Here is a 19903-nt window from a genome sequence, read left to right on the forward strand (position 1 = left end):
GGGAAAGAGATGAAAGGAGAAGCAGCTTAGAACACATAGAAGAAACCATTTAATGTTGAGAGTTTTTGCAAAAGTAGAGCTTCGTAACCTGATTCCAGCTGTACCACTAGATGTGAGTAGAGCAGGAACTGGATGCCACCTTCCAACGACGATACTCTCATACTGCTGTGCTGACTGTGGAGCTTGCCCCTGTTCAGGAGGAGCAGCTGTAGGGGGACAGTAGAACATTTTGGGCTGGGTACCTCACTTCCTCAATGGCATTTCAAAATGAAAAAGCAAACTATGAGGTAACATCAATAGGTTTGAGCTCAGAACCTCTCATTCTTGCCAATTTTCTCTCTTCTCCCACCTCTCCTAACCTCTTAAGCATAGGGATTCCCAGCTGAGATCCATTCCCTTGCTTTTCTCTCTGTTTGGGGAGTGATTCTTAAGCCACTTCTTACGTTTCTCATTTTCTGCATCAGCCTAAAACCTCAAATTGGGGATTTTTATCTCCCTGAGACTAGGATAGTAGGCCTTCTCCCTCACCACCCCCCAGCTAATGAAAAAGAAAACTCTCTGAAGTCACCTGCAAGTGCCTCTGGCTCCCTCAGATGAGTAAGGCATTTGTGGCCACCTCCCTTGGTCTCACTCCTGCAGGTCATAAGGCAGAAGCCAGAGAGCAGCTGCTCTGGGTCACAGTAGAGAAGCAGCAGGCTCGTAAGGCAGCAAAATGAGAAAAGCCACTGAGAAAAAGGATAGCACACCACGACAGGGCCATGGCGCCCTTCTCCATCTTTCACTGAGTAAACTGCTGAAATGCCAACACAGCTGTAAAGCCAGCAAAAATACATGAACTTTTGTAGCAGGTGTTAGCACTTGTAGCTATCTAATTTCAGCTTTAACTTCCCAGTCCCCAGAGAATGTAGTTTCGGAGACTGGGGAAAGTGAGAGCATTCGTGTTTGAAGTCTGGAATCGGAGGTGTCAGCTAAAGGCCAAAACCTTTGGCTCTATTAACTCCTTTCTGAATCAAGAGAACATCAAGAAGAGACTGTATCTAGCATATTTTACAGATAAACCAAGTGGAGGGTCTGGGTCAAATAGTGAACCTGTTTAAGAAAGAAGAGAATTAGCACCAATAGACTGTTCTTTTTCTTTCTGCACATGAACTGTATCAACTATAGTCTCGTTCCAAAATCTGTGTAACAATGTGCACAGCTGTGTATAGGGCATTATTTGTCTGTGAACAGAATATCGCTAGATGCAGCGTCCTTCGGATGAATTGAAATCTGTTAGGGAAAGCAGCAAACATACACTTGTGTTCCAGCTCAGCCCTTATTATAATTTATCTATGAGTGCTGTGCCTCACTGAAGAGTATAAAATTTCCTGTAGAGAAACAGAATAGTGGATTGGGTTTGAGGGAAGCCAGTTCACTCGCTTATCAGGGAGATTGCTCTTCATTAGCTTTCGTTGGAACAAAGTACTACTGCTGAGGCATCATCTGTGTGCTGGATGTCCTGCAAAGATTCCAGCTTGAGGAGTGCAGGAGGAACCAGTCTGCTGTGGCCTTGGTAGACATCAAGCTTAATGTCAAACAAGGAGGTGATGCTGAACAGAAAACAGCAACTGCTCAATGTTATTATCTCCCTGCCTTATTATTTAGAGACACTTAGTAGACAATTGGGACTTGCTGGCTTCTTGGTTTTAACTTTTCTTCCCAATAACTCATGGGGGTCTCTTCTGCCCCTTCCTTTTCCTTTACCTCCCTCCCCGACCCAGTTCTTTAATCCTAACATAGGAAAAAAAAAATAGTAATTTTTACAGTTCTCCTAAAGAGAAGGAACAGAAAATGAGATCGGATATTTGCAAATGGTAACTGGGAAAAGTACATGTTGCTGAGTAGACCCACAGAAAAATAAAGCATGTTTTCTGCTATCAACCCACAGTAGACAGCCACACATACTCCCAAGAAATGCTTAATTGAGCCTAGTTGGTCCTCTCCACCCAACAGTAGTTCTGTAGTAAAATAATGTGTAATAACGAGACTTCCTTCTTGAAAAGGACGTATCTTCAGGTTAGGGACAGGGGTGTAAGGAGGGCAGAGCTCGGGACTCCTGTTGCAAATGTATATCCTAACTGAGCCAAGCTGAGAAGAGCCTGGGAGACGGGGGAAGGACATTTCACAGCCAGTGTGGTAGTCAAACTATAAGAAGCCAGCTGCCCTTTATTACTGTCAGTAAACAACAAAGGAGAGAATAAAAAGCTAGGCAAAGTGGAGAAGCAACAACTGTATAAACAGTGGGGGCCCTGAAACATCTCATGGAAATACTTAAAATGTCTTTTGTATTTCTGTGTGGTGGTTTGTAACTTTTCATTAAAAAATTCCATGAGAACAGTGCACAGGTATCTTATGAGCTGTGAAGCAGCCTTTCCTATCACCCAAAGACAGAGGCTACTCTGGAACAGCTTTCTTTTTGATGAAGTCGTTAGAAAGCTCTAGTTATACCAATCAAGCCAAAGAAAATGGATCCATCTCTACAGCAAATACTAAAGAGAACTAAATTTGGAAAACATGGGATCCTACATTTCTTATCTGCCACAAACTGCAGTTTCCCTTTAAGGAACTGGGGCATGAGCCACAATTTATCATTGGTACAATTATCATTCATATTCCTCAGAAATCATACATGCCTGGTTGGCTTAGAAAGAAGTACTAGGATCTACAGTGTCCTTCTCTCCTTTCCTGAGCACTGATAAGGAAGAAGACTGTTAAGAAAAGTTATCCTCAGCAAATTATCAATTGCTGAATCATAAAATTAGAGAAATTGGATGCAGCTTTGGCTCTAGGTCTGTTTCTTCTTTCCCACACCAAAATGGAATCTTGAGTGAAAAATTGCAGCATCTCTACTTTGTAATGAAATGTGCAGAAGAAATGAAAAAATGCATTACTTTACCCCATGTGTAGGTACTACATCATTACACCACTGAGAATGTTTCACTAATGATACAGAACATATGGGGGCTGTTACATAATGAACTACAATGAGGTACATTAAAAATATAGATGAGTTTAATTTTATATATTTAATAAAAAAACTTTTATAAGGCAGTTTCATAATACTTCTACAGATGGTAATTATTCCCATTGGTGGAGTCCAGGCTGTGTGTTATTACGAAGTTTGCCCCATCATAACTAGGAAGGGATCTGATTAGCCAAAATGAAGGATATCCTAAGTTCCAAACTCGTTGTGATAATTTGGGCTGTGGACTTATTTTCTTCATGTCTTCTGTGTGTTTGCTGCAAAGCTGTGAAAGAAGATTCTTTCATTCAATGTAATATGTTTGCATTAGTGATAACCACTTCCATTTCTTCCAGAGGTTGTTGCTCTCTCCTTTCCTTCCCTCCTACAAAAAAGAAACATGGGACATTTTTTAAAAAGTTACCATCCTAGTGCCACAGAGATATGAAAATACAATTTGACAGAGAATCTGAATACTTTCTAATACAGCACATAATTGGATTTTACAGTCTTCAAGAAGAGCTAATTTGGCTTATAGTTAGTATTTTATGATCAATGTATTGAATTTAGATGAGTTTTCCACTGGATCTATATCAAAATTGTTTGTTCAGTATAACCTCAGTTTTTAGTATTTTCAGAGAGTAAAACTTTAAGATTTCAAAGAGGAAGAAAAAGCTTATTTTGCCCAATTCTGATTTTTGTAGACTGGTGTCCACATCCAGCAACAGGCTGCAACAATTTAGAAACTCCCATTGTAGCTTAAAACTCAGAGTAAAATCCGATCTTCTGTTAGCATAATTTTATATAACCCTTGTTACATCTCAATTTAAGGAAATAATTAGAGCAAATTGATCACAGGAAAGTTTAACTAGCCAGTGGTAGTTTTGAATTAAAGTTCATTTTCTGTGAAAATTAGAAAAGGCTGAGAATTTGGTTCTTCATTACGTGATAATTTAGCGTCATATGTCAATAGCATCCTGGGAAAGTGACGGTATGGCAGTGGTCTAGAGGGTGGTGTGCTCAGTGACCTGGAACCAGAGATGGTGCCATGAAAGCTTAATACTCAGGGGCAGATGATAGCACATGGAGACCCAACTATTTCCAGTGCGTTAAATTCCAGGTTATAACTTCCTAATCTTGATTTTGCACTTGTGATTTTCACTTGAGGAGTTCATTAAACAGCTATTGTTTAAAAAAAAAATATTACATACTGTATTTGCTGGAAGCCTTAAGATATTGTAACTTGAAGATTCTATCTTATACATACGTGAGGCAGTGACTTTTCTGGTTTTAAATATTTTCACTGTTGTGCTATAATTTATAATTTTTGTCACAATCATATTAAAGAGCGTTCCACAAATACAATGTGCACAGCATGTGGCTTAATATTTACTTTGTATACATATAGAGGATTTGGCAAATCTTTTACTGATAATTAATGCCTTTAATTAAAATTTATTTAGTCATGGTGACTTAATTCGGATTAAAGTCAGTAATTAAGCTCTACCTTTAAAGCCTGGCTCAAATCTCCACTCTTTCAAAAAGTCTCCATGAACCCTCATCCAGTTAGTTTCCCCCATTCTCTTGCAATGCCCTTTCTAGTCAGCCTTCAATGAAGGTTATTTATGCATACTTCTCACCCTACTATAAGTCAAAGATTCCTGTCATACATCTTTGCACTTGCCACAGCACTTGGCACAGGGTTTTGCCTATAATAGGTGTTCAATAAGTATTTATTTTACTGATCATTAATGTGAGGAGGTATGTACTATTCAGAACATGTGGGTTTGAAACACATCTATGTGCAGTGAAAACGTGAATTTCTTCTTTCAGTGAGCAGCTCAGCGTCCACATGATCACCGCCACCCATCTCCTCTGACATATCTATCCATCTCAATTCAGACCAATGAATCCAGTGTGGAAAGCAGGAATCACACCAGCCAAAATCATGTTACGTCAGTATTTTGTATCATAAGTAGAAAGCCTTCAAACACTGAATTTAGCAGATTATACAGATCAACCATGAAATTGAATTTGACTTCTGCTGAATACAATGAGTCATATCAGAACCTTCTGCACAGGGGAGTTCAAATAAACCCAGTAAAAAATTTCCACAGAAGTAATTGGAAGCATTTGTACATGTATTACTCTCAAATTAATAATATGAATCTTTTGATTGCAATTTTACCAGGTAGATATTTTTCTATATGTCTCTCCATTGGTTCCCATCAAAACACATACATTTTGTGTTATCTAAGGACCAATATCTAATTTTGGAGAACAGTTAATATAAATTTCATATTGATATGTAACTAATAAAAATGTCTATAATATTTACAATAATAAAGGCTGTGTTATAACTGATCACGCTTTTATCCAACATGAGACAATGAAGGTAGAGAGAACTGGCCAAGGCTCACATAGCAGAGCAGAGGGCATATAGGGTTAGATACCTGTCCTTTTCTTCTCTTGTTAGCATGTTGAGCTATACCATCTGTATTGTGAGTCTACTACCTAAAACTGGTTTACCTATTCTAATGTCTGAAGCAGGACCCTGAATATCCCTCACATAAATTTTGCTTCTGAAATCTTTTTAGACTTATATTTAAGCATGGTGTCTGATATCATGGGAATTTGAAGTATTCCAAATAAAACAACACACATTGAGAAAATATGACTTAAGTGGCCTTATCAATTTTTTTACCATTTAGTAAGGAGAATTTATGGTCTAAATAACCCTTTCAACTTACCTAAATTGAGAATTTTGACTAAAATATCATTGAATTGTACTCTAAATGGATGAATTTTATGGTATTTAAATTACATCTCAATAAGTGGTTTTTTAAAAAAGTACATTTCCTGAATAACGGCCGGCTACCTAAGTAACTATGAATGGTTTGGAAATTCACCCAGATTTAACTATTCAGAGTAAGTGTCATTTTAGACCAAAGATTGAGAGCTAGAATCTATAACTTTTCTAATCACAAAAACTAGAGTCCCAGATAGGCTGAATGATTTGGCCATTATTTCATAGTAAGTTAAAGGCAAAGACAGGTTTTGAAGTCCATTCTCCTAAGTACCTGAAAGCAAAACTGGCTACTTGAAGTTCTCTTGAGTTAATTGCATTGCACCCTGTCTCTTAGGGTCTATACTTTTTCTAAGATTTGCGATATCTCAGGTAATACGTAGTGTTATGCTTAAAAGAGTCAGATCACTTGGTACTAGCCCCAGAACTTAAAAGTATCTAAATGAAAGAAAGTTGGATTTAAATAAACGTATTTGGGGAAAGGAAAAATGCTTCTTTCTCATTTTCTTGGTTCTTAATTAACCTTATCATACATATCTTTCATTTTAAGGTATTTAAAATTATTTCTGGAAAGGAGTATGAGCAAATGTGAAATTTCAAACATAAAAAATAGGAGTCATAACTTTGTTACATTGTCTACCCTGTTGATTGTCTCTGAAAACAAAAGCTCTGTATCTTTAATACTATTAAGTCTGCCTGTGAGCTATAAGCAAGCCATTTCTTAATTAAAACTTTTTGAATTTTTATCTATAAACCAAAACAGACCACTATACTTGCAGCAAATATCCATTTCATTGTACCACATTGTGGTTGAATTCACCATGGGGGAAAAAAAAAAACCTTTATTTTTAGCTTTTGTTCTAATTTCACTTTAAGAAATATGTGCTTCATATTTGCAGCCAAATGAATTTCATATTTGTAACAATAAGAAAGATGTGTTTTATTATTTGAAACAATAACCCCTGTTTTTCTGAGATGTATAAAAGAAAACTGATATTAATGGGGAGATATCATGTTCCAATATGGAGAAAAAATTTTTCAAAAACTAGCTTCTTCCTAATTTCTAGGTTTAATTTAGTTTTATTCCAAATTAACAGACTTTTTTTCTTAAATTTTACAACTGTTTTAAAATTGATCTTAAAAAAAGGATAAGACCAGATAAGAAAATAAAAGGGAGGGGAGCAGAAACTGAAGACAAATTGATGTAGAATTTTAAACATAGTAAAAGCTATAATAATAAAATCTATGGTACTGACATATGGATCAATGAAAATAAAAATGGAAGCTAGGGGAAAAAAGACTCTAACATATATGTACTAGAATTTAAATGAAATGGAAAGATTTTTAAAAGCTACATCCTCTGGAGTTTGCTATGGGTAGCGAAGATATATTATTATATCTCTTTCAGACCTTGCCAAACATCTAATCCCTTCCTGCTTATAGAGGCTGTTTTGATGGGGGAGAGGGCTGAATTAATTCAACCAAGGGACTTAATCCACCAAATTTGAAACATTATACAGGAAAAAATGTGATGCCAAAGTTGTCTGTTCTTTGTAAAGTTAGACTTAGAGGGCTAGACTGCCCTTTTAGCCATGAATGCTATCTTAGAAAGCAGGCCCTGAGATAAATATTTTTCCACAAGCAGTTGATTGGTGATCCCGGGAAATATTGGCAGGGGAGCAGAGAAGTAAGACAGGGAGGGAAGGCGGCCCAGATAGTTTTTAGCAAGCACCTTACCACTGTAGGCAAGTGGAGCCTGATCTTGCTGGGGAAATGTGAGCACTGGTGTAAAACACACACTTAGACTCATCCACTCTAACCGAAGATGAGACCACTCGCGTATTTACACAGCACATTCTCTCAGTTACTGGTCTAGGGGTGCTGGATTGCGGAGAAGGATAGGTGTTACTCTCTAAGCACTTCAAACCTGCTGCTCCTGTAGATAAAACAAAATTTGGTGGCCAGATAAAGCCTCAGGTAAGTAAATGGAGGTGCTGTTAGTTGGAAGTCAGACCGGCAAGCTCTGAAGTGCTAAGGGCCAGGGGAAAGAGATGAAGAAAAAACTAGCGCTATCTGACACAAAGGCCAATACTCTAGGAGCTTACTTTACACAGTAAAGAAATAAGGATTTTTGGTGTTTCTGTGATAACCTGAACTGAAAAAAGAAAGGACGGGGAAGGAAGGCTGACAATTGTTGAGCTCAGGAAAGACGTGATGGGGAAGACAAATCAGTATGAAGAAATCAGCCTAGCATCTGGCCAATCTAAGGAGGAATCACTGTGACCATGATCTGGGGGTTGACCAGTGAAGAATCTTAGATGCAGTGATGTTTCACAATGAATCTTGGGGTGTTTCCCTGTCTGTGTTGTACTCTCCCTCAATTACCTCCAAACTTTCAGTAAAAATTTAAGTGTTAACAGCCTTGCGTTAGCAGTGCCTTGGGAAATAAAGACAAAGGGACTGTGTCCCTGCTAAGAATGAAGCTGTTCAGAGTGGTGATGTGATGGTCACAAGTGTTTGACAGTTGAGCAAGGGTTTGGCATGAGATGTAAGTACTCTGAGGAACGTAAGTCCTACAGGTATCCCTGGAAATATTAGGGAGACTGCTAGCACTCATGTTACTTTGTACAGATTTGATTTTAAAGAATGACACCAGAAGGCTACAGGACTTGATTCTGAATTTTCTTAAAATTTTAATGTATTGCTTATCTGAAATTTTTGCATTAGTTTTGATTTTTCAAATATTGTATTGTAATATTATTTATGTTGATTACTGAAGGTTTTTTTTGTGCCCCCTTTAAATTTTTCCCAGAGGGAAGTTCCTTACTCATTTGACCCAAATGCTCATCTTCACATAGGGATATTTGGGCTCCACCATATAAAAAAGTATACGTTACTGGGCAAAGGAAATGGTGATGGGAATTGATTAACTATTTGGGGTGGTGGGGGGGGAAAGAGGTTCTAAGCTCATTCTTTGTAGCAAATGCATTTTTGTTTGATTAATGTGTTAAAAAATTAAAATAATATTAGATTTCCAGATACAGAAGGGACTTCTAACCATAAAACAGAGGAAAAAAACTACAAAGAAAAATATGCATAAATTTGACTGCATAAAAATTAAAGCTATTCATTTCAATAAACATGAAACAGACAAGAAAATCTGCAACAAATATTTGTAAAAACTAAGTTATTAATACATTAACATTTTTGAAAAGTAATTTTTAAGTTAGAATAAAGATCCTTAAAGCTATCTGTACTTAATACAGGAATCTCATTGCTAAAAACTTATCCTTATAAAATAGAGATGTGGCCAAAGATTTGTGTGTATCTGTAGTGTTTTATAGCTTACAAGTAATAACAAAAATTCTTGAAAGAATCTAAATGTCAAATTAGAGGAATAAAGAAATTATGACATAACCATTGGATGGAACATTATACACATATAAAAAGTATGCTTTCAAAGATGATTTAAACTGGCCTTGAGCAACAGCAATGGGTCTACATGACTGAAGGGACAACAGGAACATGCGTTTGAGTTGACCATGATCATTGTAATGGAGACTACACTTGACTGAAGGACAATTTGGAAGATCCTTCTTCCAAAGTTTTTTGGATTGTGTAAGTTCTATGGTTCTTAAAGGAACCATAGAACTTAAGATCATAAAGGAGAGGAAATAAAAAAATGACTTAAGTTGGATTTCCTAGGGGGTTGGGTCCTATGCCAAATGTGGTTTGATTTAGAAAAATAAATATATATCATGCAGGAAATACAGTTTCACAGTGATGGGATTATGGGTGATTTTCATTTTCCTGTTTGTATTATGTTCTTCAGCATTATATTTAAGAATGTATTCCTGGAGCAAAGGATTTCTTCTCTCCAGCTTATCACTTTGGTGTATCTTCCAGATGTTTTAAAGAAACGTCTTTCAAATAAATGTGATAATTTTGAGCTGTAGGAAAAGGCCTACAGCTTGAAAGTGGAATTATTTTTCCCAGTAACTTTCATATTTTAATATAAAGCCAGGCTTAGGAAGCATATGTGGAAAAGGAATGAGATAGCAGAAGTGTAATGTATGTTTCAGCAAACAAATGTCAGAAGATGCTCTTTAAGATGAAGTTATAAGACAATTCTTTTAAAAGGTCCTGGCTGGTGAAGGATCATTTTATCAATTGCTGAGATGTTCATTGTTCACTCATTCTGTGTGAAGTCACAGGTTGTAACAATAGGAACACTAAACTGAGCATCTTGGGACTGAGTTTCCAGTGTCTCTTCTAACACTCTCCATCCAGGAGAGCTTAGCTTCCATTCATCTGCCAGAACTTCCTTGTTGTCTGCAAAAGAAAGAACTTTCTGTAAATCTTTATTGAATTTTCAGTTGCATCTCTTTGAAGTATTTGCAAATATGAATACATATTGATTTAATAAAATCTTAAGTGGAATCCATCATTAGAATTGCCTACTTGGAGCTTACAAAATACATGCCAACCAGTGATTGCATTTTATGCAATTCCTTATATCTTTAAAGCTAGGCATAAAAGTTCATAAGAGACTCAAACCCAGAATCTGAGAAAGCAATCCTTTTAATCTGGTCAAATAACAAGGAATCTCCCATTAGAAGATACATAGAGAGATAAAAAGAAAGATATATATGATATACAAATATTATATATGATACATATTTAAAATTATGATATCTATGACATATACAATGCACCTTAGAACAAACTTGTCATGTAAATTTGGCAATTTTTGATTGATGGCATTTTAAGGTACATCTTTATTTTAGGGATCCTGATGCCTCAAAAATGGACAGTGAATGTACTTTAATAATAACAATCTAAAGTACAGTACCATCATGTTTGCTCAATGGAAATATCCAATGCTGTACCACAAATGTTAAATTGTTCTTCCTTAAAGAGAGTGACATCATGCAGGAAATTCAAATCAAGTATCAAATAATTCTTTTTTAATTACAAAGGAAGCATCCCCTCTCTGCTTTCTCCTCTGTGGTCTGCTTTTTATTTTGTCTCTCTGACTCAATGACCTCAGTGAATCACTGGGTACAGTTTGCTATCCAACTTGAAAGATATATTGACTGGCAGGCTCATTTATTTACCCCCCCCCCAAAAAAAAGGAAGAAAGAAATCTTTTAAAAACTCATTGAGACTCCCCATTTTGTTTGAGCGCAAAGAGGAACATCTTAGATGAAGTGTGAGCTAAGGAGAAGGGGAGTAGCCAGGATGGCATATTTTGAATATGATGCCACCTCTCAGATGGCTTTCATTTTCATGCCCGGGAGCATCTTTAAAAAAAAAAAGCTGGATATTGCATATAAAGTTTAGAGAATTGAGTATTGTCTACTAAAGCAACAAGATTTACGAGAAACGTCTGGCTCAATTGCATTAAGAAAAAAAATGATTTCAAAAAAATCACTTCCCCGCCTTTTAAAATGAAAACCATCTGCAATGAAAAATTTAAAATGATAAATCTTCTCCTTTCACACTGCTACTGATAAATGGATAGTTTTCCTCCTCTTTTTGGAGGGAGCGGAAAAGGGATTTAGAAATATGTGATATTCATGCATGCAGACTTTTGGTTAAATATCTATATACTCTTCCTGGAATTTTGAATAAGATTCTAAGTTTGTATTATTATAATCATCATATGATATTACGAGAGCTATTACATGGAAACTCCAGGCTGTAACTTTTTGGAGTTGAGGTTCAATAACATTTCACCTTTCTTAGCTATGAAAAAAACTTGTGTTTCAATAAATATAGTGATTTCAAATTCATGGAATATATTTAGGTCAAGATCTACTCAATGTAAAACATTTTAAATTAGCCAGTTTATACAAGCTTATGTTTATATTTGATGTTAAATATTTAATAATGTTTTTTATAGTGCAACCTCTTAATTTTGATTAAATAATCTATGGATTCTAATATTTATTCAGAACATAAAAGAAGAGGAATAAATCCATAATCATTGTTTTTTTTTTCTTCTCCAATTCATGTGCTCACAGACACACAAAGAAAGCGGGTAGTGATTAAAGTAATAATGCTACATGCTAGTGTCTTTTGTTTCTTCTATACTATAAAAGCCTTTAGGCAAGTGTCTAGTGTTTCATTTTACCCAGATCTTAACAAATAGTGAGATCCTAAATGGCAATGACTGAAGAATTCACATAATCATTCTCCATATTCTGTCGCCCCCAGTTTATGAATCTAGAGGGTACTAATTTACACGTGGCTTACTCTGAAGCAGGAGTGAGTAGAACTGTTCCTAATGGGGGCATCTGTTCCTTTCCTGAAAAACAGGGTCACCCAGGCTCCTTTGGAAACATGCGAGTTTAATTGGAAATTCTGGTGCCTACTTTACTAGTCATAAACTAAGTAATTGTTTCCTAATGCAAGCTGGCAGTGCCATTGAGGGCAGATTATACAGACCTGCCATCCTGAGGTGTTCTAAACAAGTGACAAATCATTAACAGCAAGTCTCTGGATCTCTGTGAGTGAGCTCTGTGGCTGCTACTGGAGGGAAACAAGACCAGAGAGGAGCGAGGGAGATCTGAGCAGGCAGAAGCTGCTGCATTAATGACTGGCATTGTCAGCACTGTGCGCTGGGGATGACTGCAGCATCTTCACTTTCACCTTCTTCTCAGGGGTGTTGCTATGGGTACCATCTCAGAGGTGTCATAGAAAAAAAAAGAGAGCAGGAGGTAGACTGATGAACAACGTAAGGAAGTAAAGGATATGCAATGGCATAACAATATGAAGACATTCTTCCCATACGAACGAGTGTGTTGCATACTTCGATAGGGACCTATTAAATATGGAGGATGGCAGACAGGAGAATTGGTTGAATTGTCAACAAATGACAAATAAAAGGTGCTTTGGAACTATTTTATGGCCCCAATTATCCATAAAGATAATCGTAGTACTGGACCTTTATCACTTGGGTACAATCTTTTGTCACTAAATTAATTTATGAGCCCCTGGGAATTGTATGCATGCGTGGTGTATGGGTGTTTTTGCAGTATGGCAAGACTTGGGAAAGCTGTTCATTATTTTAAAGGCTGTGGTTTTTTTTTGCACTCTTTTCAAACTCCTGCTCTCTCCCCTGATCAGAGATTCTGTGAAGGTGCCAACTCCCTAGCACTTTGACTTTGAAATTAATCATGGTAGCCTTCCTTCTCTGTAATATGTTAATCATCATTAGCCCGATTCTCTTGCTCTCTCTCTGTCGTACTTTAGCCTTTGGATAAAAGTCAGAAAAAATTATTAGGAGCATTTTAACAAATTGCAGCATTTCAGTGATTATGTAGCAGTTGTCAGATTCCTTCCTGGCAGAGTTGGAAAAGTGACATTTTCTTAGTTTCCCAAGTTTATTCAACTTATTAAAATAGCATAAACAATGTTGAGGTAGAAAACAGGTTTTGCTACCCACCTTTATTATATATAGTGTTATAGAGTCCAATCATATATATATTTATAGAGGAGATTATTTAAAACACTCTGGTGAGAACACAGAGCCACTTCCCCTCCTCATTTGATTGAAAACTGAAAGTTCATATTTTATGGGTCATGTGGCATTCAGCCTTTCCAAACTGGCTTGAGTAGTTTCTATAAAATATGTAGCTGGAAGTTTTGGTTCTTTTGTTTTAGTTTTCTTCTTCTTTCTCTTATTTACTTATTTTTTTTTTACTTTTGTTTTTCTGTTTTTAAAATCATGGTAGTTGCTGGGAATGTCAACCAAAATAACATTCATAACCTGAAACCCCTACCCATTATTTTCACACATATATCATATAACTGTCACTGGAAACCAAATTGTGGGGTGAGTTGACCAAACTCTTGGGAGGCTATTGCAGATACTTTTCTATAAAAAATGTTTTTACTAAAATCACACCAAAGGACCCTCGGTCCTGACCCTACTGCATATTTATTTTTTGTAGGCATCAGTTTACTCAGGAAAAGAAACAGGAGAAGTTCTTAGAAAGGGATGAGGTCCTGACTTGCAGACACTTTTCTTTTTCTGGCTATAACTTAAGGTGTAGATCATTGTTAGAACTAGAAGTAGATATTTATGGGAAAATGAAATTGGATTTGACTAAGCAGTGAGAGCTAAGACAGATTTGAAAATATAGAGAGGACCTGATCTTTATTCATTAATTTGTTCATCAATTCAACATTTATGGAACAGCTGCCATGCATCAGGTACTGTACTTGATATTAGGGAAACAAAGATAAATAAGATACAGGCCTCTCCCAAGGAGCTTGCAGTCTAGAAGACATGGTCTTTGCTTTATTTTTATTAAAAAAGATGAGGTCTCACTCTTGCCCAGGCTGGAGAGCAGTGGTGCCATCATGGCTCACTGCATCCTCAAACTCCTGGGCTCTAGGGCTCCTCCTGCCTCAGCATCCTGAGTACCTGGGACTACGGGAACACCCCACCATGCCTAGCTAATTAAAAAAAAAAATTCTTTTTTTGTAGAGATGATGTTTCCCTATGTTGCCTAAGCTGGTTTCGAACTCCTGGGCTCAGGTAATTCTCCCACCTTGGCCTCCCAAATTGCTGGGATTATAGGCATGAGTCTTCGTGCCTGGCTGAAGACATAGTCTTTTAAATAGCTTATTATATAATGCTATGAGTAGCATGCATGCATAATAGTGTGATCTGAGACATCTAAAAATGAGGGCAGTAGTGAGGTTATAATTCACTAAGTGGTTTCCAGAGTATAAAATAAAATGAATGCTTTAATTTCCAAAGGCTCTTTAGGTAGGAAAAACAACTTGAATTATTAAAAACAAGAGAAGTACATTGAAGATGGTATTACAAACTCCTTGCTAGACAAGGGTAAGATGAGAGCCAACTCAAGAGATATAGTTGGGAGAACCATAGAATAGACCTCAAAATTTGGGACTTAATTACCTATATGTTACTGTATCTACCTTGAAAAGAAAATGCTGTTTGCTGAATTAAAAGTCATTAATTATTTCTGTAAAGTGTGCCCTAATGGCAAGTAAGAATTAAAAGTTTCTTATAGTCATTCTTGGGTTTGAGCTATATATAACCAGGGCATTTTTTTTTTTTGTAATGGAGTTTCTTAAAATAGATTATTATCTTTTATTACAGGCTTCAAAATAATTGCTCTTCTATGTCAAGTTATATCTAGTCCAGCAAGAGTAGTATTGTGAAGAAATAATTTCCATCGCAAGTCAGTCATTATTCAATTAACTAATTCTATCACTAAACTTGGCTTTTTGTTTTGAATTTCTCTTACTTTCCCAGATTTGAAAGTTGTTTACAGATACTAGAAATATTCAGAGTAGTATATGCAGTTTATAACGTTACTAGCTCAGCACTGGTACTTACTCAACAATTAATAATGCCACCTGTCTATTAGTAACAATAAAAAGTAGCACACATTAAATCTTGCAAGATAACCAGAGGCCATCAAGTCATCCTCCTTAATACTACAAATTTTAGTAAATTTTATAAAATTATCCAGCTGATTTACAAGTTGGATTTAATATATTTACAACCTCCAAATATATTACAACATGATTATAAACTGCTCTGGGATTTTTTTATACTCAAAAAAGGTCAGCTTGTACTACAATGTAAAATTTAGAGCCCTTATTGAAATATGTCTTCCAGAAAGCTGTGAGGAAGTTTTATGCAACCATTAAATATATAAACACTTGTAAAGGACAGTGTATCTATATATATATACATATGTATATATGTGTATATGTGTGTGTATTCATATTTACATAAAGCATGTGTGAATATACATTCTCATATTTATCTGTACATATGTCTGCCCCTGCATCTGGAAGAATATATTTGTGTTTGTAGAGAGTTGGTCCAGTGTTCATATCCAAATGCAAATTTTGACTCTTAGAAGCATATTTTCATATTTGTATCTCTTCCTTTCTCAGTAGTTTTGCCAGTTGGTGTATTTCTTTGCTTATTTCCACTTTTTCTTCCTCTGCAGCATCCCCCATGAAGTGGCGCTGAAAGATCACGATAGCACAGTTCCATGATGTGAAATACCACAAGTCTGCAATTTTTCGGTCTTGAGAGTGTCGCTGGGCTGAGAGGATGGAAATCTTTCAGTAATTATACCAGTTTGTATTCGTCTCACATTTGGGACCAAATACAAATCCGATCCACTCTTTCTCCCTGTGAATATTCATAAAAAACAAAGTGCCAATTCTGGTCTAATCATGTATGGAACCAAATATGTTGATGAGTCCTAAGTATATACTGTATGTATGTATACATATGAATATATATATTTGTACACACTAATTTTGCTTGTGTCCTCCTCTGTGCAATTTGTTTGTTTAGTATAGGGGTTGCTGTTATAATGTGTTAATAAGCTGCTGAAAGCTTGGCACCTATTACTTGAAATGACAGCTATGTTAGAAGCCTATTAACACTCCATAGCAGCAGCTCTGCAGCTACTAGAAATGAATTTCAAAGAAGGTAAATGAACAAAAGCGATTCATATCTCTAAGGAAAGCAAATACCATGCCTAGAACCATATATACTTTGGAAATGTACAGTGTATAAAATGAAAAACCTCTTCCAGTTAAAGAAACAGCGGAAGGGAATATTTGGGGAAAGGAAGACTGCCTAAAAGATTTCCAAACAACCTTGAAGATGTAAATGTAAAGGATACCAAACATAACTTCCTCTCTTTGTTTCTATTGTATTTAAACCAGATCCATGTCAAACTTATAAGAACAGAATATAGTACAGGTAGAGGAAATTCACTTTTCATGAGCAAAAGTTAAATCATCTGGATTTAGCTCAAACTTCTTTTTCTTCATTTCTGAGCTTAGAAGGACACCCTTTGCTATTGTTCTCGGAAGCAGGGCTCTTTATGAGTCAGCTTGCTCTGCTTTTGAACTACTTTACTTACTTTTGACTGTCATTGGAATTTGCAAGATGGTTGAAAGTCCTGGGTAAACCTTAACCATGATAATAAAAATGTGGTAAGTTAAGTTCAGCGTAGGTGTTTTTCTTTCTCTCTTTTGTGATACAGTATGTGTGGGGGCGTGTATATGGCAAGGTGGGGGGTGGGTTATATGCTGAGAGTACAGTTCCATAATTCTAGGTTAAATTAAAATTTAACTGTATTAACTTTTTAAGGCCCTTACTTTTGAAATCAGCTGTAATGAAAAACAAACACTTTTGCATTTCAACTTATGCACAGAAATTAAAAATTGCTTTCAGAGTTTGTGTAAAACTAGCAGTGAAAAGTTATAATAGGCAGTTTCATCTGTAGAATAATTTATATTACCGCTTTAATATCAGGACAGTAACACGTAGTAGCATTATCTTTGCATTCACAGTACCATAATATCTATTATATAGAATGTGTTTTATATACCATGCTAGTCATGATATTTCTGTGAATGGCTACTATGACTTCTAAAAAGAAAAGCTTGAAAGGTCTTGGAAGAGAAAGAAAACAGGTGTAGACTCTAAAAATCTGTATAAATATAAGCCAAACACTCTTTGTGTACATGCATGTGTGCATACACTAATAAGGCTTTACAAATTAGATTGGGATAGGTTGTCGTGGAGGAGGAAAGAGGTGAAAATAAAGGCAATCCTCTTATCACTGAGACTCAATACAAAATGTGTTTTGAACATTGTTTAAATGAAACTCCAATTTCCCAGGTAAGCTGACACTACCCTTGCCCTTTGGGACACTAACTAGAAATGCTCTTAGGTGAAATCCTGTCCACCAAAACTTAGCTTCCCCAGCCCTTCTGTACACTAATAGTACATTGACAATTGATGCTCATTATGAATTTAAAGGTACTCAAATGAGGTAATTTTGTGTTTGTTGAATCACTAACAGTTTAATTATGCTCAGTATTGTTTGTACAAAATGATTTTTAAAAATGGATTCTAACATTTTAAAAATGGATTCTAACATCTTAAAAATGTGTAACCCATTGTATGTATGATATAGATAGTAACTCTATTATTCAGAGTAGTTGATTAACTCAAATGCCCTACTTCATATCTAGCAGAGAACAGGCTAAATTTAAATTAAGCAGCATTTTATTAGAATTTTTGAAGACTTGTATTGAGAAATGCCAATTACCAGTTGTTTGTGAGTTGCCAAAATATTATAATGTTCTGAATTTACGGAATGGAATATGATCATTCAAACAATAAAGCAACAAAACCAAAACTATATAACATTAGTATTCCCTAAATTGGTAAACATTAATTTTATTTCCTTGCTCTTAAAAGATTAAAATCAAATAATTATTTTAATTTAAAACATAACGTATATATGGAATAATTCATGAAGCAAAAATGTGTAGTTCAATAACTTCCCATGAAAAAGAATCACCCAAGTGGCCACCACTTGCCAGCATCTTAGAATATTTTTTCCAGTCACGGCCCACTCTTTCTTTTCCACTAAAGTAACCACCATCTTTGCTTTCTCGCTCTTCTTTATAGTTTTACAACCTAAACGTGAAATTTCATTTATCTGCTTTTTCAACTTACATAGATAGAATCATGCAGTGTGCATTCTTTCGTATCTGAGTATTAGTCTTCATGCCTCTACCTTTTCAACATCATTAGTTATTTTTAATGTTTTACAGTAATCATTATGGTTGTGTCTCATAATAGACTTTAGAGCAGTTTTAGCTTCACAGTAAACCTGAGAGGACGGTACAGATATTTCCCATTTACCCCTGGCCCCACACATGCATAGCCTCCCCAGTTACTATTATTTCCTACCAGAATAGTATATTTGTTACAGTTGATGGACCTAAATTGACACATTATTATCACTTGGAGTTCATAGTTTACATTAGGGTTCACTGTCAGTGTCGTGCATTCTAAGAGTGTGACAAATGTATACTGACTTGTATCCACCATTATAGTATCATACAGAGTATTTTCACTGCCTTAAAAATACTCTGTGCTCTGCCTATATCTCTCCTCCTTCCCTCATTCCTGACATCTCCTGATCTTTGACACCCCTGGCTCCATAGATTTGCCTTTTCCAGAATATCATATAGTTTGAATTATATAGTATGTGGGCTTTTCAGATTGGCTTCTTTTACTCAGTAATATGCATTTAAAGTTTCTCCATGTATTTTCAAGGCTTGATAGCTCATATTTTAGTGCCGAATAATATTCCATTGTCTAGATGTACCACAGGTCATCCATTCACCTACTGAAGGGCATGTTGGTTGCTTCCAAGTTTGGGCGATTATGAATAACGTTGCTATCAACGTTTGTGTGCAGGTTTTTGTGGACCTATATCTTCAACCATCTGGGTAAATACCAAGGAGCACTATTGTTGGATCATATGGTAAAATTGTGTTTAGTTTTCCAAAAAACTGCCAAACTGTCTTCCAAAGTGTCTACACCATTTTGCATTTCCACCAGCAACTGTATTGTTCCACGTCCTCACTAGCATTTGGTGTTATCAGTGTTCCAGATTTTGGCCATTCTAATAGGTGTGTAGTGGTATCTTATTGTTTTAGTTTACACTTCTATGATGACATACGATGTGGAGCATCTTTTCATATGCTTATTTGCCATCTGGATGTCTTCTCTGGTGAGGTGTCAAATTCTTTGGCTCATTTGTTAATCAGGCTGTTTGTTTTCTTGTCGTTGAGTTTTAAGAAACCTTTGTATAATTTGGATTAATAGTCCTTTATCAGATAGGTCTTTTGCAAATATTTTCTCTTAGTCTGTGGCTTGTGTTTTTATTCTTTGACAGTGTCCAAAAATTTTTAATTTTAATGAAGTCCAGTTTATCAATTATTTTATAGATTGTACCTTTGGTATCATATCTAAAAAGTCATCACCAGTCCCAAGGTCATCTAGATTTTATCCTATGTTACTTTCTGGGAATTTTTACTAGGAATTTTATAAATTTGTATTTTACATTTAGGTCTGTAATCTCTTTGGTAACCCCCCACTTTTTTTTTTTTTGCATCTGCATACAGATGTTCAGTTCCAGCAACATTTATTGAAAAGACTGTCTTTTCTCCATAGTATTGCCTTTGACCCTGCATCAAAGATCAGTTGACTCTTC

At 35.9% G+C, this 19903-nt stretch overlaps 1 long non-coding RNA gene across 1 annotated transcript in view; it reads left to right on the forward strand.

Moving 5' to 3' along the window:
- Positions 1–16826, forward strand: part of DPH6-DT (DPH6 divergent transcript) — a 312807-nt gene extending 295981 nt beyond the window's left edge. The window contains exon 3 of the long non-coding RNA NR_038251.1: positions 15812–16826. This is a non-coding gene — a long non-coding RNA (DPH6 divergent transcript). The remainder of the gene's footprint in view (positions 1–15811) is intronic.
- Positions 16827–19903: the final 3077 nt, after the last annotated feature.

The sequence above is a fragment of the Homo sapiens genome, chromosome 15 (genome assembly GCF_000001405.40).
Source record: "Homo sapiens chromosome 15, GRCh38.p14 Primary Assembly".
Lineage (NCBI taxonomy): Eukaryota > Metazoa > Chordata > Mammalia > Primates > Hominidae > Homo > Homo sapiens.